This window comes from Homo sapiens, chromosome 8 (genome assembly GCF_000001405.40).
Source record: "Homo sapiens chromosome 8, GRCh38.p14 Primary Assembly".
In the NCBI taxonomy this organism is placed as follows: Eukaryota; Metazoa; Chordata; class Mammalia; order Primates; family Hominidae; genus Homo; species Homo sapiens.
Genome location: NC_000008.11, coordinates 29,487,887 through 29,510,446, shown reverse-complemented (window position 1 = coordinate 29,510,446; position 22,560 = coordinate 29,487,887). Strand labels below are relative to the sequence as shown.

General features: G+C 44.7%; 6 annotated features.

The window, feature by feature from the left end:
- Positions 10,702 to 10,781: an enhancer, noted in NCBI's record as "active region_27197". NCBI's record gives its function as "activates an Ori minimal core promoter by ATAC-STARR-seq in GM12878 lymphoblastoid cells {active_cell/tissue: GM12878}" and the evidence as "EXISTENCE:reporter gene assay evidence [ECO:0000049][PMID:35858748]".
- Positions 10,842 to 11,061: an enhancer, noted in NCBI's record as "active region_27196". NCBI's record gives its function as "activates an Ori minimal core promoter by ATAC-STARR-seq in GM12878 lymphoblastoid cells {active_cell/tissue: GM12878}" and the evidence as "EXISTENCE:reporter gene assay evidence [ECO:0000049][PMID:35858748]".
- Positions 16,470 to 16,599: an enhancer, noted in NCBI's record as "active region_27195". NCBI's record gives its function as "activates an Ori minimal core promoter by ATAC-STARR-seq in GM12878 lymphoblastoid cells {active_cell/tissue: GM12878}" and the evidence as "EXISTENCE:reporter gene assay evidence [ECO:0000049][PMID:35858748]".
- Positions 19,423 to 19,928: an enhancer, noted in NCBI's record as "NANOG hESC enhancer chr8:29348036-29348541 (GRCh37/hg19 assembly coordinates)". NCBI's record gives its function as "activates a minimal SCP1, AML or CMV promoter by ChIP-STARR-seq in naive H9 embryonic stem cells {active_cell/tissue: H9 hESC(naive)}" and the evidence as "EXISTENCE:reporter gene assay evidence [ECO:0000049][PMID:30033119]".
- Positions 20,184 to 20,243: an enhancer, noted in NCBI's record as "active region_27194". NCBI's record gives its function as "activates an Ori minimal core promoter by ATAC-STARR-seq in GM12878 lymphoblastoid cells {active_cell/tissue: GM12878}" and the evidence as "EXISTENCE:reporter gene assay evidence [ECO:0000049][PMID:35858748]".
- Positions 22,030 to 22,560: an enhancer, noted in NCBI's record as "OCT4-NANOG hESC enhancer chr8:29345404-29345934 (GRCh37/hg19 assembly coordinates)". NCBI's record gives its function as "activates a minimal SCP1, AML or CMV promoter by ChIP-STARR-seq in primed H9 embryonic stem cells {active_cell/tissue: H9 hESC(primed)}" and the evidence as "EXISTENCE:reporter gene assay evidence [ECO:0000049][PMID:30033119]".

Sequence of the window (22,560 nt, the reverse complement as noted above, 5' to 3'; positions counted from 1 at the left end):
TGAATTGTAATCCCCAGTGTTGGAGGTGAGGCCTGGTGGGAGGTGATTGGCTCATGAGGGTGGTTTCTCATGAATGGTTTAACACCATCCCTTGGTGCTGTTCTCATGATAGTGCATGTGGCTTGGGACCCTGTGCCCCAGGCCACAGCCCTTGTGTTACTGAAATGCCTGCAGTTCAATCTAGGTCCTATTGCTCACTGCACAGAAAGACAATCACTGAGACAGCCATTATTGCCAAGAAAGAAGGCTTTAATCAGATGCTGCAGCCAAGGAGATGAGAGGTCAGTCTCAAATCCATCTCCCTGACTGACTAAAATCCAGGATTTATATAGCAGGGAAGAAATGTAACTATATGCAGGAAAATGGGAATCAGGGAAGGATAAGGAAGAGGAGCTGGTCAACAGGAGGCAGGTGGTTGGTTAGACAGTCATGATGGGTGAGGGGTCCAGCATCTCATTGTGCAGATGCAGTGATCTGGTGAGTTTCAGTTCCTTGATACTCTCTGGGAGTCCTGATAGTTGGTTTCCTGAGAAAGGAACTCAGATAAGACAGATAAGATAGTGAGTGAGTTCTCATGAAATCTGGTTGTTTAAAAGTGTGTAGCACCTCCCTGCTCCCTCTCTTCCTCCTGCTCAGCCATGTGAAGTGCCAGCTTCCCCTTCAATTTCTGCCATGATTGTAAGTTTCCTGAGGCCTCCCCAGAAGCCAAGCAGATACCAGTGTCATGCTTTCTGTACAGCCTGTGGAACTGTGAGCCAATTAAACCTCTTTTCTTTATAAATTACCCAGTCTCAGGTATTCTTTAGAGCAGTGTGAGAACTGACGAATACATCTACATATCCGCTGTTTTGTCCCACAAGTCTTCTACAGGAATCTGTGCTCTGCTTCAGAAACTCTGCCCAAGGAGAATTCCATCCTTTGGAGGATCTTAGTAGATCTCCAGCAATAGATTCTTAGGGATGAAAGGGGGCTCTGAGTCCATTTTGCACATCCTTTCCCGTATCTTTTAACTTTTACCATTAAACTCCATCAAGCATGAATTGTTTTCCTTGACACTAGATGAAGGTGTTAACACTCAATTAGTGCTGCAAGTTCAAGAGTATCTCTAAACTAAGTGCATTAGCAGCAATGTGTCAGCACCCAAACACAGATTCTGGCATAGGGAACACATAATAAATATGGTTCAAGAAATTAGGCTGGGTGTAGTGGCCCACACCTGTAATCCCAGCACTTCAGGAGGCCCTGAAGTGGGAGGATTGCTTGAGCCCAGGAGTTCGAGACCAGTCTGGGCAACATGGCAAGACTCTACCTCTACAAAAAAATTAGCTGGGTGTGGTGGTGCACACCTGTGGTCCTGGCTACTTGGGAGGCTGAGGCGGGAGGAGGTAAGGGCTGCAGTGACCTATGATTGCACCACTGCACTCCAGCCTGGATGACAGAGTGAGACCACTGTCTCTAAAAAAACAAAATTATCAAACACATGGCCAGTCCTTGAATGCCTTTTTGTCCTTTTCTTAGGGCAGAAAGCATAAATCAATTTCAGTGGGCTTTCCGTAGAATCAAAAGACGTCCTCCATCGAGAAAAGAGTGACAAGCAGGCCTACATATTCCCCTTACCATAGCACATGGCTTAAATTCTGCCATTTGGGCTAAGAAGTTGAAAGATGTGGAGGTAAGAGACTCTTCCACTGCCTCCTTGCCTAGATAATCATTTGATGTGTCTCAAGGATTAAGTGAAATAAGGTTTGCAAAGCTTTTAGTACAATGCCTGGCACATCATAAGGGAGAAAGAAATGTTTGTTAATGTGGTGGATTTTACTATTGTCATTGTTGCTGTGGTTGTTACTTGCATGTTGTGTATTCAGGTGGAAGAGTTAAATTAGCAATCCCGTCTCAGCCTTTTCATGAGTTCCATCTAAATAACAAGCTTTATAGTAATCCTTTATCCAGACCTGTACAGGCTTTCCTGAGATGATTTCCAAACACAATCACACAATTTAAGCTTTAAAAAGGGGGAGGTATTAGGAGTGCTTTCTGTTCAACAAAAGCATTTAGGATTTTACAGGGGGAAAAAAAACCCAAAAATATAAATATAAACCTTCCTTGAGCCCAGCACATGGCAGAAATTTCCCAGAGGGCAGTAAATATTTGTCCAGGAATGACATGCACACCTAAAATTCAGGACAGAAAGACACTCCCCTGAATCCCTTCCTCTTGCAGGGTTCAAGGGTTATGGAAGTTTACCTCTAGTCTCAAAGACATTCTGACCTCCCCACGTCTAGCCTGCCTTCACCCGAGTTGCTCCCAGTTTCAAAGAATATTCTAAAAGCACACACAGAGAGAGTAGGTAGGATGCTGACACTTTGCTCTTATTCACACAGGGTAGCAGTGTGCTGGCGAAGTTTATGGCATTTGAAAACCAGGATAAAGTTTTGCATTTCCCTGATGGCTGCCAGTATCTGGGCACAGAGTCACTGCTTTGCAAACTGCATCCTTACCAACAAATACTCCCCATATTACCTGATACTAAAACTATCAGTTGATGTATTAAATAGAAATTTAGGCTCAGCCAGCAGAATTCTACCACAACTTCATTAAGGCAGAATACACAGGTGTATTGTAAATTGTTAAAACTTTCTATTTTCCCAATGCCTCAACATCCCCACAAACTAGCTGTGAACACCCCACCCAGGTGACCAGGTACCTTAGGGTGACAAAGATGGTCCTGGCCCCACGTTCCTCTTCTCACCCTCACATAACTATGACCCAGTGACATTCAAAAGCATCAATGAAATCACTCATTTCTTATGGGGTACTCTTCCAACCCCCAATAAAGGCACTTGCCTATGAGTCTTCACTCTCTCTCCCTCTCTCCCTCTCTCCTCCCCACCTGCTTGGTTGAGCCTCTCCTTGGAGCTCCTTCCCTATGGCCCCTCCTTCTCTAGGTGCTGAGAATATAATAAATCTTTTAACTGCCTATGCCTCCACATGCAACTTCCACAGTCGTGTTGGAGTGACCCTTAAAGGCCCCACAAGTAGGACTGGGCATGGTGGCTCACCCCTGTAATCCCAGCAGTTTGGGAGGCTGAGGCAAGAGGATCACTTGAGGCCAGGAGTTCAAGACCAGCTGGACAACATAGTGAAACCCTCTCTCTATAAAAAAAAAATTCAAAATTAGCTGAACGTGGTGGCACATGCCTGTTGTCACAGCTACTCAGGAGGCTGAGATGGGAGAATTGCTTGAGCCCAGGAGGTAGAGGCTGGAGAGAACCATGATTGTGCCACTGCACTCCAGCCTGGGCAACAGAGGGAGACCCTGTTTCAAAACAAACAAACAAACACACACAAAAACACAAGGAGGACTTGCTATCCATTTACAACACAACAGGTATTCTTGGGTGCCTCCTCTGAAGGGAACAACAGGGATTCTCCTCTCCAAGTTTATTCTCTCATGACTATCCTGCTAAGCCTACAAACCGGAAACAAATAGACACCTGCCTGCTCAGCCCTGAAAAAAAGAATCCTTTTCCTCTTGCCATTTATTCTTTCTAGCACACACACATTTATGCAGATTAACAGCATCCCCACTGGCCCCATGGCCTCCACTGGGATTCACGGAGCATAATCCTATCTTAACATAGATTTTACACTGTGCTATTGTCTTTTAGAGTCAAATGAACACCCCTCTGGGACACTGAAGGCTGAACACAGAACAAAGATGAAGAGGAGGGGGTGGCTGGGCATTTTCCATCACCCCAGGCCCCTGGGACCCTGTGTCCCAGGCCACAGCCCTTGTGTTACTGAAATGCCTGCAGTTCAATCTAGGTCCTATTGCTCACTGCACAGAAAGACAATCACTGAGACAGCCACTATTGCCAAGGAAGAAGGCTTTAATCGGGTGCTGCATCCAAGGAGATGAGCGGTCAGTCTCAAATCCATCTCCCTGACTGACTAAAATCCAGGATTTATATAGCAGGGAAGAAATGTAACTATATGCAGGAAAACGGGAATCAGGGAAGGATAAGGAAGAGGAGCTGGTCAACCGGAGGCAGGTGGTTGGTTAAACAGTCATGATGGGTGAGGGGTCCAGCATCTCATTGTGCAGATGCAGTGATCTGGTGAGTTTCAGTTCCTTGATACTCTCTGGGAGAACTGATGGTTGGTTTCCTGAGAAAGGAACTCAGATAAGACAAATGTAACTTTATCAAGTTTTAAGAATGGGAGGGTCAATTTCTATGTTTATTCAAAAGAAACCATAAACATCAGCTCTATGGGACAATTGAGCCCATTTCACCTGGGCCTTCATCTCAGGACCCAGGTAAATCTGCCCAGAAGAAGCAGGGAGAAGGTTGTCACCCTGTGGCCCTCACCCATTAGGAATGGTATGGATTGAGGACTGAGAAGACAAGGATGATGCATGGAGGACCCTGCAGCCATGAGGGGTAACCATGTAGACTTGTAGGACATTGCAGTAGACCCACCCGGTGCAGAGCTGGGGAGGGGCAGACATCCAGGAGTGAGACACATCCAGTGTGGATTCTAGAAAGCCCCCCTCCCAGAGAGTCAATGGTGCATCCTCTTGGTGATCTGACCCCAAAGTGGGAGGAGGGTGCTATCCCCTGGGAATGTTCCCTCTTCTCAGTAGCACTGGGAGTTGAGAAGGAAAGAGAATGAGCCACATGCACATAGACTTCACACATTGCCAAAATCACTCTCCAGGAATCTCCATAAGAAATTGGCCTCGGAACCCAAAGAACTTAAAACAGAACACCATTGGACCTAGCAACACCATTACTGTGTATCTACTCAAAGGAATATAAATCATTCTGCCAAAAAGACACATGCACTTGTATGTTCATCGCCATGCTATTTGCAATAACAAAGACATGGAATCAACCTAGGTGCCCATCAACAGTGGACTGAATAAAGAAAATGTGATACATATACACCATGGAATATTGCACAGCCATAAAAAAGAATGAAATCGCGTCCTTAGCAGCAACATGGATGCAGCTAGAGGCCATTATCCTAAGTATGTTAATTCACCATTTCCTTTGAATTTGTGAGACTGTAAAGTAACAGAAAGCCATATACCATCTCGTTTATTAAGTGGGAGCTAAACATTGAGTACACATGGATAGAAAGATGGGAACAACAGACACTGGGGACTACTAGATGGGGATGGGTAGGAGGTGGGGCAAGGGTCTGAAAACTACCTATTAGGTACTATGCTCAGTACCTGGGTGATGGGATCAATCATATTACAAACCTAGCTGAATCTAAAATAAAACTCAAGAAAAAAAGAGAGTCAAATGAACCGGAGACTTCTCTCATACCTCTGACTTTGTAGTGTTGTTTCTTCCCCTCTTGTCTCCTTTTTCTGAGATGAAAGAATAGCCTCACTCAGCTGCTAATCGCCTGCTCAGAGGCACTGACAGTCACTAGGAAAGGGTGGCAGGGCTCTAAGGGGGCAGAGGCCATGCACATGTGGCATGCAGCCCTGCAAGGAGCTGGGGGAAGCATCCCCAGAGGAGAGAAGTTGCTCACCATCCTTTAGCAGACTTCCTACACTCAGCTGCCTTTGCATGAAGGTAAAATCCTAAGCACCTTCTTCATAAAGCTGTTAAGAAACACAGATTTCTTCTGGGCTTCCACAGCCGATGTCACCTTTCCTCCCCTGCACCTGGAGACTGCCCTTTGGGCATCTGTAATGAATGAGCTTCTGTGGTGCTGCAGAAAGAGCCCAGCAGTCAGAAGGCCTGGTTTTAAGAGAGGTAGACTAGATATCTCAAGAACCGTTCTAGACCAGTGACAATTCTAACACTGAGTGAGTGAAGAAGAGTGCTTTAGATTTTGCCCGGGACCCAGAGTGGAAGAAGGTTGCCTTCCTCAGGACTTGAGCTCAACTAAGATAGCTAGTTAGACCAGACTCACACCTGGATGAGATCAAAACAAGGGGACACTAGAAAATGGAGAGAAACAGCAACGTCATGATTTTTAGTCATATTCAGGATTGTAAGTCAATACTAAGGAAGCTCCTGGAAAAGCGAGTATATCCATTAATCAACCTAAACTTAATTCAATGAATATTAAAAAGGGGAGGAAAGGGAGATGCTAAAATTTTACTCCACCATTTTCTAGAAATGTCCTAACTCTCTAGTTGAGACCTGGGGGAGAAGGTTGTCAGGGGTTCATGTTGGACAGGTCACCTAGGCTCCCAGGCTTGGGATCATCTTGATGAACAGCTGGGACCATCACCCTGTGGCTGCCACTCTCCACTGCTCAGCTGAGTCTTCAGCAGCACGATGGCTGTCTGTCCTCCTTCCAAGTCTAGACACAACCTCTTCCCTCCTAAGGGGGACACCATGTTCTAGTCAACAGGGAAAAGCCAACAGCAATAGTTTTCACATGAGAGAGGTGGGAAATCCCTAAATAAAACAGAAGTCGGTCCAACAGCCCTTGCAATGCCCTTTAAACTCTGGCAAAACAACAGCTGCCTTGTTCTGATTCAATCTAATCTTTCAGAATTTATGTTCCTGAATTCTCTTACTTGGCCTCAATACAGACAAAGGAAGTACATGGCCTTTGCCAAGTCAGGTCCTGCTGCCCTGCCAAGTCACAAGCATTCTCAAAAATCAGGAGGCCCATGTTCCTCCAGGCAGCTACCCTGTGACATACCTGGCACACTGGACTCAGACATCAGGTGGGTTAAAGGAGTCTGTCTGGGAAGGTTGGGCTTTTCGAAGGATCTCAAGAGGTGGTGATGTTTCTTCTTGGGAGTCACTGAGATTTCATGGATGGACTCCAGTGTCGTTCCCCGAATTGAAACTCACAGACTAACTGCTGCCTGATGAAGTATGCTCTACGAGAAGCTGATTTTGAGACCAGACACAAGCCTGTGTCACAGCAAAGTGGGAAGAATATACTCGCTCCTGGGGAGTTAAATTGAACCCCAACATCAGCCCTAACACACCTCCAAAGATGGATATAAAAGTAAGAATCCCATGAACCCTTTTTGAAAGCACTGTGATGTAAAGAGGTTGCAGATTGGGATGGGGTCATCTAGATCTATTTTAAAATAACCCTGACCCAGAAGCAGGTAATATACAAATGATTTGCTTGTATCCAGAGCTGATTTTGAAAAAACATCACATCAAAGTAGCAGTGCTGCTGAGTGCTCAGTCTGTGTTATTTGACCACCCTCCGTGGCCTTCGTGGTCACACCAGGACACACAAGTCACCCAGAGCCAGGAGAACTTGGTGCAAAGCTCAAGACTTTCAGTGGGTGAACCACTAGATGGAAACAAATTACCTCTTCTGAAGACTCAATCTTCTCAAACAAAGGGAATTTACTTTATATAAACAAGCACATAAGTGACAAGAAGGCACACGTTTCTAAATCCTTCACCATTATTGCATAAAAATGACTGGGTGCCAACACCACAATGGTCCCTCTGAGAACAGAGAGAAGGCATGGTCTTCACATAGAGTTTCATGTGGCAAAGAAAAATAAAATGACCCTCATATTTGGAAAACATATGATCCCCACAAGTGAAAATCGAGCTGATTCCATCCTGTTAAGAAGGAGAGGATGGATTGATGTCTGTCCGCATTGCCTTCCCTTGTTCTGAGGTTGCTTTGGGGAGCTGGGGAAGACATAATTGGAGATTTAATATTTCCTGTTCCCCTTCAGCAAGCATTCAAGAGGACTTATAGGGTCAGTTGCATTTGGGAAGGAATTGGAGAAGGGCAAAACAGAGATATGAAGAGAAAAACAATCATGACACTAAATGAAAGATACAAAGAAAATGAAAGATACAAAGACAATGAAAGATACAAATGAAATGAAAGACTCCAGCTGTTCCCAAAAGGAAAGGGGATAACACATTTGCAAGTAGCAGTGAATCCCATGGGCCGGGAATCTAAAAGGGAGGGGTCAGCTTTTCCAACATGAGGGACAACAGGAGGGGTCTGGTTCCCTTTTCTTACCCAGTGTCAAATTTTCTCATTCTAATACCCTAGAACACACATGCATCAATATTAAAAATCGTCACTTTTAAGTGGCACAATAAGGTACAGATTCATGAATTACTTGCACAAGGTAACCCAGCAGAGATTCAGTGCTAGAGCCTGTACAGTCCTCTAAATGTCCAAGACAGTGGGATCATCACTTGAGTTACCCACTTTGGACAGGTAAGTTTCTTGGATGTTAATCCACATATGAGCACACCCCAATTAAGGTTGCCAAATACAATACAGGACACTTGGGTACATTTGCATTTCAGATAAACAATGCATACTTTTTAATATACATATGTGCCAAATATTGCATGAGACATACTAAAACTTATTTATTATTTATCTGGAATTCAAATTTGTCCAGACATCCTGTGTTTTTATTTGTTAAATCTGGCAACCTTAATACCAATGGTTTTTGCTCCCCTTTCATTCTGGTCTTCCTGTTAGAAGTGCCATCCCCTCTCCTTGTACCTATTTCAATCATGCTCATCCTACAAGGCTTAGGTCACACCTTGCTGACTTTGGGGGTCTTCTCTTGACTTCTCCCACCCATGCTATTTGTCTCCCTTTGTCAACACCTAAAACATACTGACAGAACAGTATGGACCAGCCTGGGATATGCCATTGTTTCATTCTGAAATTGTTTTTTAAGCTTTCATTGCCTCTGTCCATCAATATTGCACGCTACTTGGATGGAAGCCATGCCTGCCTCTTTCCTGTGTTGTATCTGGTGTGAGGCTAGGCAGAAGAAGCTTCTCAATAACTGATGGAAAACTGCTTTAGGGCATACAGAGAAGTTGACCTGGGCAAGCTGATGCTATCTTTTTTTCCCCAAGTTTCTCCCAAGGCAAAGGGTGGAGAAGGAAGGGTCTAGAACAGGGGCGTCCCATCTGTTGGCTTCCCTGGACCACAGTGGAGGAAGAATGATCTTGGGCCACACATAACATACACTAACACTAACGATAGCTGATGAGTGAAATAAAAAATCACAAAACAATCTCATAGTGTTTTAAGAAAGTTTATGAATTTGTGTTAGGCCACATTCAAAACTGTCCTGGGCCATATGCAGCTCATGGGCTGCGGGTTGGATGAGCTTGGTCTAAAGGCTCAAAAACTGATTTGCACATAAATTAAAGATGACATTTGTGTGTGAGGTAAGAAGCCACAACCAAATGGTGAATTAGGAAAATTACAAGAGCAGGTGATATTACCGACCGGTAGATTTGCTTCTATGGAAATCTTCTCCCCTTCTAAAGTCTGCAAATACCATTAGATTTCTAAGCATTAGAGCTGGAAGGACCTTAAGCATCCCCTGGGCCAAACTATCAACATACAGGAGAAGAACTGAGACCTGGAGAGGAAAGTCACTTGTCTACAGTCCTATAGTGGGCTACAGACAGCCTCCTGGTCCCCAGGCCAAAGATCTTTCCATTTGTCAAACTGACCTTCAGTTTCAGGGTCAGAGTCTCATGCCAGGGGGCAGCTTTTCAGCTCTGCTCAATTTTTAAAATAACATTTGTTGTCTTTTTCTTTCTGTAAAAGGCATTTACTTTTAGTAGAAAATCTGGAAAATACAGAAGTACATAAAGAAGAAAATTCAAATTACCCACCAGCCAGAAAAATGCTATTATTAATATTGGATGTATTTGCTGTTATGCCTTTTTCTATGCTAGACTATAAGGGAGACAGGGATTAAATAAATCTTACTCATGTCTGTAACCTCAACCCCTAGCCCAGTGTCTGGTACATAAAAGGCACGCAATCTACACTTGTTAAATAAATGCCTGCATCACTATGCACATCAATATATGTATTATATATGCATACATATGTTTATGTAATTTTAAAAATGGAAGTCATTCTATTATAGTTCACCCAGTATTTTCCAGTTAACATTGTATTATATTTTCCAAAAAATATCCTCCTATAAAAATATTTTCAGTCACTGCATAGCATTCTGTTGTATAGCTAAACTGTGATTTACCCATCTCCAATTAATAGACATTTAGGTGGTTTCCATATTATTCTGAATAACAAATTGAGGATAACTATTTCTGGGCATGAGTCTTAGTGAGAATCAGTCTGTGGGGAAACTGGGCCTTTACTTTCACTAGTGGGGAAAGTTCGAGCAAACGCCATAGCGAAACAGCTACCTTGGATCATTTAATCATCCCTGCATAGGTCATTTGACTCAGCTTCCCTTACAAATCACGAGCCTTGAGTCAGATGATAGCATTAGATTATCAACTTAATTTTATCTCAGTTATAGCTTACATGGGGAAGTCACCTCGTGTGAGGGCGATAAGAATATCTGAAACAAAGGGCATTTTAAAGGTGATTTCATCAGTCCCGCTCTTAGCCAAAGAGCACTAAAAAGTAAATAAGTTCTCTCCTCTCCCAAACAAGTTCAAAATGTATATTCTAGGAATGTGACTTTAAATTCAAGAAAAATAAAATAGATGACTCAAATTCAAATCTAAGTATGACATTTATTTTTTCTAAATAAATCTGTCTGTAAGTTCCCTGCAGAACTTGCACTTGGCTGGACTTCTTTTTTTTTTTTTTTTTTGAGACAGGGTCTCACTCTGTCACCCAGGCTGGAGTGCAGTGATGTGGTCGCTACAGCCTTGAACACCTGGGCTCAAGCGGGTCTCCCATCTTAGCCTCCCAAGCATCTGGGGCCATAGGCACACACCACCACGCCCAGCCAATTTTCTAATTATTTATAGAGATGAGGTCTCGCCATGTTGCGCAGGTTGGTCTCGAGCTCCTGGGCTCAAGCAATCCTCCTGCCTTGGTCTTCCAAAGTGCTGGAATTACAGGCATGAGCCACCACACCCGGTTGGTTGAACGTTTTTCAATGATGGTATATTACACATCCACTGACATTCAGCAACCTATGAGTTCATGTTGCCGCTTTCACTTTCCCTTTCAGCTAAAGCAAAGCAGAACAGAGCGGATCTTTCAGCGGCTAGGGGCCTCAGTTCTAAGAAGTAAAGGGGATCTTCATGGTATTGTTTTGTGTGCTGCTCTGAGCACTGACATTAAAGAAAGTGGCCGGAGAAGAAGTGGGCAGAGCAGGTTCCTTCCTCACCAGCGTCACCTGCTTTTCTCTTCCAAGTTCAAACTCGGCTTAGGTCCCCGCCTAGGGAAAAGGACATCAGATTCCAGGACTGGCCTGCTGTACCAGGCGGAGAGCACGAGAAACCTTCCTGCTGTATGGTGTTTTGGCATAGATATTCTGGATGTGACTTGAGACTGCTTGCTGTTTCCGGACCATTTACACCCATTGTTGTCTTGTGAGCCCAGTCACGGCCTGACACGGAACGCCTCTCATGTAATCTTCTCATAGGAATCTAACTAATGCAGAGTGCTGTGGCATTGTCAGCCCTCATCTTACACACTGCTCAGGATGCAAAGGTGGCTAGTATAGTAACATCTGCCTCTTTAGCAAGAGCCTCAGTTGCTCCAATTTAAATACGGGGAGGGAGCTGGGTGCAGTGGCTTATGCCTGTAATCCCAGCGTTTTGGGAGCCAAGGCAGGAAGATCGCTTGAGCCAAGGAGTTCAAGACCAGCCTGGGCAAATTAGCAAGACCTCCTCTCTACGAAATTTTTTTAGAAAACTTAGACAGGAGGCCAGGCCCAGTGGCTCATGCCTGTAATCTCAGCACTTTGGGAGGCCAAGGGGGACGGATCACTTGAGGTCAGGAGTTCGAGATCAGCCTAGCCATGATGGTGAAACCCCTTCTCTACCAAAAAAATACAATTACAGGCACGTGGTGGCGCATGCCTGTAATCCCAGCTACTCAGGAGGCTGGGGTGGGAGTATCACTTGAACCTGGGAGGCGGAGGTTGCAGTGAGCCGAGATCGCACCACTGTACTCTAGTCTGGGTGACAGAGTGAGACCCTGTCTCCAAAAAAAAAGAAAAAAAGTTAGACAGGAGTGGTGGCAGGAGGATCAGTTGAGCCCAGGAGTTTGAAGTTGCGGTGACCTTTGATCGTGCCGCTGCACTCCAGCCTAGGTGACAGAGCAAGACTCTGTCTCTAAACAAATAATTAAGAAATAAACAAATAAATGGAGCTATTGAACAAGGAGAGCAAACATTTTTCATCTTAGGAGCTGAATAAACTTGAATAAACATGAATAAACTTCTACTTGCATTAACCACCTTGTAACATCTCAGTTCTACCTGACTAGTAGTAACCCTGTGAGTACTGTCTGAAGACTATCAGATCTTATCCAGAGCATAAGGAAAAAAGGGTTTAGAGTCACTGAGTGACAGGGCCTGAAGGAAAACCTAGCATACCCCAACCCCAAGCCTGTGAGCCCCTGAGAGCAGGCATTAGTCTGATTTGTCTCTGACCCCCAGATGCTGGTACAGTGCCTGGCACACGGTGAATACATGATTACAATGAGACAAAATGAAGACACAGAATACATGATCGATGGAAAGAAGAAACAAATCCTAAGAGTCTGACCACAGAGCTTAATTCTCTTTATGTTAAGTTGTTGCTGTTGCGTACAAACAAGAAATTCCTTCCCTAGCAGAGAAACATATTGCCACCCCTTCAAAAGATCAGAATGACTCTAACATGAGACACATCTTGCCAGGGCTGCTGGGGACTCACAGGGCAGGAAGAACAGGACAGAGGAGATGCTGTCTCTCCTCCACCTCAGGCTCAGCTAGCAAGACGCTGAGTGTGCTCCTTGCGGTGGCACCACACTGGCTTTTAGGTGCAGATGCTTGCTGGTCTTCTTTAGACTAGCCACCCTTAGAGCTTCCTAGGTAAGCTGTTTTCTCCCAGAGTTGAACAACGACAAAACAAAGGCGACACCAAGGGCACTTGCATAGCCAGCACTGTTCCAAGCATTATAGGCTGAGCACGGGAACGTGCACCTGTAGCCCAAGTTACTCGGGAGGCTGAGGTGAGAGGATCGCTTGAGCCCAGAGAGGTGAAGGCTGCAGTGAGCTGTGATCATGATTGTGCCACTGCACTTCAGCCTGGGCAACAGAGTGGGACCCCATCTCAAAAAATAAAACAAAAACAGAAACAAAAGAACAATCATTATAACACTCTACTGCTGGGTTTATGTCCTCTACAGATGGATAATACATGGCAATGATAGCACAAGGAAAAGTGTGAAGGAGAATATATTAGAGCAAAGTTCTAATATTTTACCTGAATTAAATCGGTATTAACCTGAACCAGATTTTGCTGAGTTCAGATGTATCTAGTAATTCCTAGAGCAACCAATGAAAAAATAGCTAAAAATCAAAACAAAACACTAAAAAAAAATCAAGAAAGGAACTAAAAGTGTCACACGAAAATATATTTGTTTAACATGAAAGAAGGCGATAAAAGAGGTACAGAAGACTAACTATTAAATGAGTTAATATCTGTAAAGCTCTCAGAACACTGCTGGCTACACCAAGTGCCCTTGGTGTCATCTTTGTTTTGTTGTCATTCAACTCTGGGAGAAAACAGAACTTACCCAGGTTTGGAAAGTCCAAAGAAGACCAGCAAGCATCTAAAAACCAGTGTGGTGCCACAGGCAGGGAGCAGCGCTCTGACAGCCTCAGAATTCTTAAGAAAATGTAACAATTGGTCGGGCGCGGTGGCTCACGCCTGTAATCCCAGCACTTTGGGAGGCTGAGGCAGGCGGATCACAAGGTCAGGAGATCAAGACCATCCTGGCTAACACGGTGAAACCCCATCTCTACTGAAATACAAAAAATTAGCTGGGCATTGTGGTGGGCGCCTGTAGTCCCAGCTACTCGGGAGGCTGAGGCAGGAGAATGGCATGAACCCGGGAGGTGGAGCTTGCAGTGAGCTGAGATTGCACCACTGCACTCCAGCCTGAGCGACAGAGTGAGACTCCGTCTCAAAAAAGAAAATGTAACAATTGCTGGGGGAGAAACTGAGAGGGGATGAGATGACATTGACCTTAAATAAGCCCCCAAGTGCATGGGTCCAAAAGATGCCTTGGAGTTTTAGCCAAGAGAGAAGGCTTGCACAAAGGTATCAGAAGCTGAAAGGGTTTTTCTAAAGATGTGTCAGTGACAACAGGGATCAACTGGAGTTGAGCCTGTTGGTGACACATTAATGAATGACAAGGATAAAGCAGAGTTCCAACCACTGCTCCCATGCTTCTGCCTTCTGAGGGAAGCAACATTGATGGGCTTGACTCCACGCCAAAAACCTTTCCCATGGGTTCATTGAATTCCAAGCCCAGGAAGGCAGAAACTAACATCCCCAACTAAACAATGGAGAAATGGAGTCAGCAAAAGAAATTGCACTCTCTTGAGGACACACAGCAATAATTGACAAATCAACATTCAAGTCCTACCTTTTTTGCTTCAACACCACAGCTACTATCTCGGTCAAATAAAAAGAGCTTTGGTGCTGGGCGCAGTGACTCATGCTTGTAATCCCAGTACTTCGGGAGGCCTAAGTGGGAGGATCTCTTGAGCTCAGGAGTTCAAGACCAGCCTGGCCAACATAACGAGATCGTGTCTCTATTTAAAACATTTTTTAAAAATTAAAACAAAATTAAAATTAAATAAAAATTGTAAAAAAGAACTTTGATCAAAAATTGGAATATTGAGAAAGAACTCAAGACTGAGCAAAATGAGTGAGGGTCTATAAGGGAGCGTTGAGTTGCCCCACATGAGTACAGCCTCCTGCCTTTGGTGAAGTCCACCCAATGCATGGAGAGAACCTATGTTTTAATTTCCTAGGGCTGCTGAAACAAAATACCACAAAGCAAGAGAAATTTATTCTCTCATAGCTCTAGAGGCTAGAAGTCCAAAATCAAGATGTTAGCAGAGTGATGCTCTCCCTTAAGGCTCCAGAAAAGTCTCTTCCTTGATCCTCTCATAGTTTCCGGTGTTGGCCAGCAACCTTAGCATTCCTTGCCTTGTGGCATCTTAATTCCAATGTCTGCCTCCGTGGTCAGATAGCATTCTCCCTGTGTCTATACCCAAATTTTCCTCTTCTTACAAGGATACCAGTCAAAGATTAAGACCCACCTTAATACAACATGACCTCACCATGACTTGATCATATCTGCAAAAATCCTATTTCCAAATAAAGTCCATTCACGGGTACCAGGGGTTAGGACTTCAACATATCTTTCAAGAGGACACAATTCAACTCATACCAGCCAGCAAATAAAACCACAGCTCCATTGTAGGAGGAGCCACAAGGCTGGAGAAGAGATAAGTGGCTCTTACATTTGCTCTCCTGACCTCCTGCCTCTGCTCAGAGAGCCCACATGAAGTAGATCGGCTTTCACAGACCCCTTCCCATTGGTGCAACCCTGACCTTCTTTCAACTGTGTTATCAGTGAAACAAGCTATTCTGCCTCAGAAGCAAGAAACAGGCTCTACCCTCTCTTTTTCTTCCTCAGTGCACCTCACAGATGGGTAAGGAGGGCCAGGACGCCATATTGGTTCACTCCTCCCATGTGGGAGACACACTGAGGTAGGCCCTTCTTTCCTGGGAAAAGACACACCATTTTCCAGCTTCTTTGCCTGAAGCTGGTGAAGTAAATTCAATTTCAAATGAAGATAGAAAACCTTATTACATTTCCCAATCTTTATACACAGACAACGGTCCCTCATGAATAAACTTCTATTTGCATTAACCACCCTGTTATATCTCAAAATGCTATCACTTATATTGCTTTATTTTATTCCTATAAGCTTCTCTGGTAAATTCGTGGGTATCATTATGCTCAATTTACAGATTAAGAGAAGTGAAATCTTGGAAAGAGTATCTTGTTCAAGACTGCACAGACAGTAAGTAAAAGAACAGGACATGAAATTCAGCAACTTGGACCCTAAAGTCCATGCTCTTTCCTAACCATTACTTCTTTCATGGTCTCCCCAGGTCCCATTGGAAGTTGGCTTACTACTAGACTGATCAGATGAGGAAAATTCATTAGCTATCAAGTAATAGGACATTATCTTGTCTGTAAATTGATCACGAGAAACTTTGTCCTGTCTTGGGCTGGATGCTATTATATTGCAATAGAAGGATGTATAACCGGTGAAAAGTCCAAAGTCTCCAGATGTTCACTGATGGACTGATAACTGAGATTCTAAATATGGTCAGTTCACCTACCTTAATGCCTGTCCATGTGCTCCTTTCCCCATCACAGCCTTCTGCCTGATCATCTCTTGCTCATGGTCACCCTCCTAACCCGTGGTCAGGGCTCCAGGCCTGCCTCCTACGCCCATGATCACTCCCCTAACTGGTGGCCAGGCCTCCAGCCCTGCCTCCTATGCCTATAATTGCTCTCCTAACTGGTGGTCAGGCCTCCAGCCCTACCTCTTACACCTCCTGCATTTGAATGAGGAGAAAGGATGGAGAGTGAGCAAATCACAGTCTAGGTTTGAATTCAAGCTAGAGACACGAGGATGGAAGAAGTGAAGGCTGCCAGAGATGTTTTGAAGGTAGAATTGACCCAATGTCATGATTCACTGGATACAAGGAATGAAGGAGAGGGAGTGCAAAATGACTCAGCAGTCTCTGACTCAGATGGCTGGGGTGGCGGAGGGTATTACTCAAGATGGCGAATACAGGAGGCTGTGCAGGTTTAGGGGAGGACCCAGGCAGGCTCACTTGAATGGACGTGTTGTATGGGCCTGGGCACTGTCTCTCAGGTGCCCAGTGAGCAGCCAGCTCTAGAGGAGAGCTGTCAGGGCCAGAGATTTGGGTAAGAGCATTGGATTTATGTCCTGGAGCTACCATGATAAATTACCACAAACTGGGTAGCTTAAAACAGAACATTTATTCTCTCACAGTTTTGGAGTCTAGAAGTTCAAAATCAAAGCATCAGCAGGGTTGGTTCCGTCTTGTGGACCCCTGAGAAAGAGCCATGCCATGCCTCTCTCCTTTCTAAGGTTGTGGCCATTCTTGGTGTTCCTTTGTTGGTAGAGAGATTACTCCAATCTCTGCCGCTTTCTTTATATGCCATCCTCCTCTCTTCTTCTTGTAAGAAGAACAGGTTTTCTTACAAGTCTCTGGATGTAGAGCCCACCCGAATCCAGATGACGTCATATTAACTAATTATATCTGCAAAGACCCTGTTTCCAAATGTCACATTCAGGGTTCTGGGTGGGCATGAATTTTGAGAAACACTATTCCATCCAGTACAGATGTTATTATCCACAGGCAAATGGAAAGGCAGGCTTGTACACATGAGAAAGCCAGAGAGAAAGACGCAGGAGGAGAGAAGAGCCAGGAGTGGAGGAGGCAGGCCAGTGGGAAGGAGGTGGGAGGGTCAATTCCAGGTGTCAACTTGACTGGATTGAGGGATGCCTAGATGGCTGGAGAAGCATCGTTTCTGGGTGTCTGTGAGGATATTTCCAGATAAGACTGGCATGTGGGTCAGTGAACAGAGAGAGGAAGGCTAGCCCTCAGTGTGGGTGGGTGCCGTCCAATCTGCTGGGGGCCTAGTTGGGACAAACAGGAGAAAGAAGGGGATGATTTATTCTTTCCATCCCTCTCTCTCACTCTCTCTCCCCTTTCCCCTCCAGAGCAAGATGCTTTTCTCCTCCTGCCCTTGGACATTGGACTTCAGGTTCTATAGCTGTCAGACTATGAGGCTTGTTCCACCAGCCTCCCAGGGCTTCTTGGGTCTTTGGCCTTGGACTGGGGGCTACATGGTCCACCTCCCTGGTTCTGAGGCTTTGAATTTGGACTGAGCCACACTACTAGCTTCTCTGGTTCTCCAGCTTGCAGATGGCCTAGCATGGGACTCCTCCATCTCTGTGATAATTTAAGCCAATTCCCTCATAAATTCCCTCTAATACATCCTATTGATTGTCTCTCTGGAGAACCCTGACTATTATAGGAGGCAAAACAGAACTCAGAGACATGTCCTGAGAACAGGAGACAACGGCATAGAAGCCAAAGAAGTGTGGGGTTTCCAAAGGGAAGAAGTGGTAAATGTTGCAGAAAAGCTAAGGAACAAAAACCAAGCAACCCAAACCAATTTTCCCATTGGGTTTGGCAATTAAAAGCTCGTGACTGACCTTCACTGCATGGTTTCAGTGGAGCGATGGGGCCGAGGTCTGATGGCCATGGGTTGCAGAAGAGAAGGGTGGCAAGGGGGTGGCAAGAGCAAAGACTGCTCTGAGAAATTTGTTTTGTGATGAGGGGCAAGGAAGGTAGACTCTAGAAGGTGTGCCAGGCAGGGGGAGACTCCTTATATATTTACTGTTTGGAAAATGAGAGACACTTAACCATAATAATATGCTGAAATAAAAGAGACCAGAGTAAAATATAGATTTTATATGTAAATGAAGGGGAAATTGATGAAACAGGAAACCTGAAAGGATAAGAATTAGGGCAGTTTGGGCAACAAGGCTTAGATAAAAAGGAGAGGCATTATGGTATAATAATATATTCAGGTTTTGTCCCCAATGCCTGGTACAGAGCCCCTAAAATCCTTGGGATTTCCTGAGTGATAGGAGTGTCTTTTGTTATTAATAATAAGTCCCTTTTGATCATTCCTGAGTTTATGCCAATGAGGTGACTTAGATAGGGGACCGAGATAGCTACAGGATGGGGATAGTCCTCAGAAAGACCAAACGATTAGAGGGCTAAAACTTTCAGGCCAGGCGCAATGGCTCATGCCTGTAATCCTAGCACTTTGGGAGGCCGAGGCAGGTGGATTACCTGAAGTCAGGAGTTCAAGATCAGCATGGCCAACATGGTGAAACCCCGTCTCTACAGAAATTAGCTGGGCATAGTAGTGGATACCTGTAATCCCAGCTACTTGGGAGACTGAGGCAGAAGAATCTCTTGGACCTGGGAGGCGAAGGTTGTGGTGAGCCGAGATCACACCATTGCACTCCAGCCTGGGCGACAGAGAGAGACTCTGTCTAAAAAACAAAACAAAACAAAACAAAACAAAACTTTCAGCCCCACCCACTGACATCTGGGAAATGGCATCAGGTCCTGGGGGTTAAGCTCTATAAAAACTACTGAAGGACAAGACATGGTGGGCTCCAGATGGCTGAAACTATGCAGGTGCTGGGAGGGTGGTGTGCCCAGAGACAGAGTGGAAGCTCCATGTCCTGCATCCCTAATGCCTTACTCTGTACATCTTTTCCATCTGCTCTTCCTGAGTAAACAGTAGACCTAAGTTCTGAGTGCCTGAGTTCTACTCATCATTCTAGCAAATTATCAAACCCAAGGAGGAGATCAGGAACCCTAACTTATAGCTGGTCACTCAGCATCCTGAGTCCCTGGGAGTACAGGCCTGGACTCCTGATTGGTGTCTGAAGTGGGGGGTGCAGTCTTGTGAGACTGAGCCCTGAACTCATGGGATCTGATGCTAACTCCAGGTAGATAGTATCAGAATTTAATGAAATTGTAGGACTCCTAGCTGGTATTCAGAAAATTGGAGACTTGCTTGGGGTGGAAAAAAAAAAAAAACCAACCCACACATCTATTAGAAGTGTTGTGTGAGGGTAAAGAGCAACTGTGTTGTTCTCTAGGCAGAGAATTCCTGGAGACAAAAACGAATTCCTGGAGGGAAGGATAAGCACAGTTGAAGAGTGAGAGGACTTGCTGGTGTTTAACTTGACGGCCCCATTCGTACTGATAAGAACAATGTCAGCACTGTTATTCATATTTGCTGTGATGGAGGGGCCAGATCAAGTGCTGAGGCTGACAAGAGGAAGCCAGCTGAGCTTCTGTGCAGAACTGCAGAGGCCCTGCTGTGGTTGGAGACCACAGATTTGCAGTCACACCCACCTGCCTTTCCTCCAACAGGGCTGCTGTTAGAAGGAATTGTTGCAAGGTCCAGCATTTGCACCCCCAAACCGCCACACAAGTACAGGCTGGTTAATGTGTTATTTTAGCAGGAGCTCGTGAGAGACAGACCTCAGAGTGTCTGCTAAGATAAATGAGTGGTCTAGTCACAATGGTGCACAGAAGTTCATGCTTCCTCACACCCACTCTGTACTGAACACATAAAAATGAGAGATAGAATATCAGAAGAGGAACCCACTAAGACACAGGTGGTCTCAGAAACAAGCTAAAGATCTCCAAAAGCCAGATGCAGATCCAAACCAAAGCAGTGTGTGGAACTGAAGCCTTCAGCCTGCAGGGTTCTGGGGCCAGAATCAGGCTGCTGAGAGGTCAGCTGCTTGAATAACAGGGACTCAACCTGTTCCTGCTTGAGGCTGAGAGGGAATCAGGCCTGACGCCACTCAAGAGGCAGCTGAAAAAAATGGCACCTGCCCAATGCCTGGGACTGTTTTAGGGAAAACAGAGGGAAAGATTCAGCCTCAGTTCCAGGACCTGTGTCCGCCACCTGCTGACCGGGACATTGGACCTGCCACATCCCCAAATCCCAGGGTGTAGAGAAAAGTCCCACCCAAATGACTATAGATGGGGTCCTGGTCCTAAGTTGAGGCCACTCAATCTTGCTGAACAGAGATGAAGACAGTAGCAGATGGGAGGCCATGGCATGTTTGAGCAATAGCAAGGGGGCCAGAGTGGGGAAGGCAGAGAAAATTCAGGGCAGTGTTAGGAGAGGAGGTGGAGGAGGAGCTGAGGATACATCATGCTGGCCCCTGAAGACAGCAGTGCTTGGGATTGGGATCCCAATGCAAAGAACAGCAGAATTTTTTTTTTAAGGAGGAAAGCACATCTGGACTAGAGAACTGTGAAGTGAATGCAATGGTTTGAAGTTGTTTTCTTTGGGCCCTCCAAGTTGAAATTTAATTCACAATGTTGCAGGTGGGGTCTGGTGGGAGGTATTTGGATTGTGGGGGTAGATTCTTCATGAATGGCTTGGTTCCATTCTCGCTGGAGGGAGCAAGTGAATTCTCACCCTTAGTTTCCATGAAAACTAAACATGGTGGTTGAACAGAGCCTGGCAACTCTTCCTTCCATTCTCTTGCTTCCTCTCTGATCTTGTGATCTTTGCACACTAGCTACTCTTCACCCTCTGCCATGAATGGAAGCAACCTGAGGCCCTCATCAGACATAGATCCTGGCGCCATGCTTCTTGTACAGCCTGCAGAACCGTGAGCCAAATAAACCTCTTTTCTTTATAAATTGTCAAGCCTAGGATATTCCTTTAGAGCAACACAAATGGACTAAGACTGTTAATATAGGAAAACTATTAAGCCAGTTTATCCAGGAATCCATTTTGAAAATGGACAATGGAGAAAAAATTTCTACTAAATATTAAAACATAAAGCCACAGTAAACAAAATAATGTCATATTAAAACATTATTAGGCCAGGCACGTTGGCTCACGCCTGTAATTCCAGCTCGTTGAGAGGCTGAAGTGGGTGGATCACCTGAGGTCAGGAGTTTCAGACCAGCCTGGCCAACCTGGTGAAACCCCATCTCTACTAAACATACAAAAATTAGTCCAGTGTGGTGGCAGTTGCCTGTAATCCCAGCTACTCGGGAGGCTGAGGCAGGAGAATTGCTTGAACCCAGGAAGCAGTGGTTGCAGTGAGCCAAGATTATGCCATTGCACTCTAGCCTGGATGACAAGAGTGAGACTCCATCTCAAAAAAACACAAAAAACAAAAAATATTATTAAGCAGACAGTTCAAGGTAACAGGCCTAAAATTCCAGAAATAGATGTAAATGTATTTAGTATAGGACAAAGTGGCATTTCAAATCTGGGGTAAAAATATATATTTGCAATACCCCAAACAATCACTGGTATAGTATTAAAAGCAAATCTGATTATGTCACACTTTTCTTAAAGTGGTTTACAATTGCTTTTGGGGTAAAACCCAAAGTTCTTGGCCTATAATATGAGGCTTCCCATCATCAAGAGCCTAACTACATTTATAACTTCTTCTCCTATACATTATCTAGCCACGAAAAGTTATAAACCACACAATACAAGACCTTCAATAAAACTATGCACATATTTTTTTCTTGATAAAACACTTCTGTACCGCTTAAGAAGTAGATAAAGAATTACTTAGAAAAATAGTCTTATTATCTGACAAAGGATAGATAGAGGCTCCTTTTACTAAAACATAAAGAAGTACCAACATTCCAAAGAATAACAGGCAAAAAAAAAGATCAATAGTTTACAAAAAAGGAAATCCAAGTGGCTCTTAAGTACATAAAATGACGTTCAAAAGAAATGAAAACACGTTGAGGTGACATGTTTCATCCACCAGATTAGCCAAGATCAAAGGATTGAATGACATGCCATATTGGTGAGCTTGCCGGGCATTTGCCCATTTTGCTGTCAAGCCCATTCCCAGCTCTTTTCCACCCTGCTGGTTTTACCATGTACCCCATCACCAAGAAGCCTCTGGAAGAATGGCCCTGCTGAAAGCTCAATCATTCTCCAGCTGTGAGACCACACACCATCAGGTGGGTATGCTCTCCTAACAGGAGGCAGCACACACCTTGAACCAGAGATCAATGTATCATATAGTTTCTTAATACTTGGGGACAGGAGCAAAGTGATGAAAGAGTGACTTCTCTCTATATACCTAACGGCCATTCACAGAATTTTTGCTTCCCAGCTTTG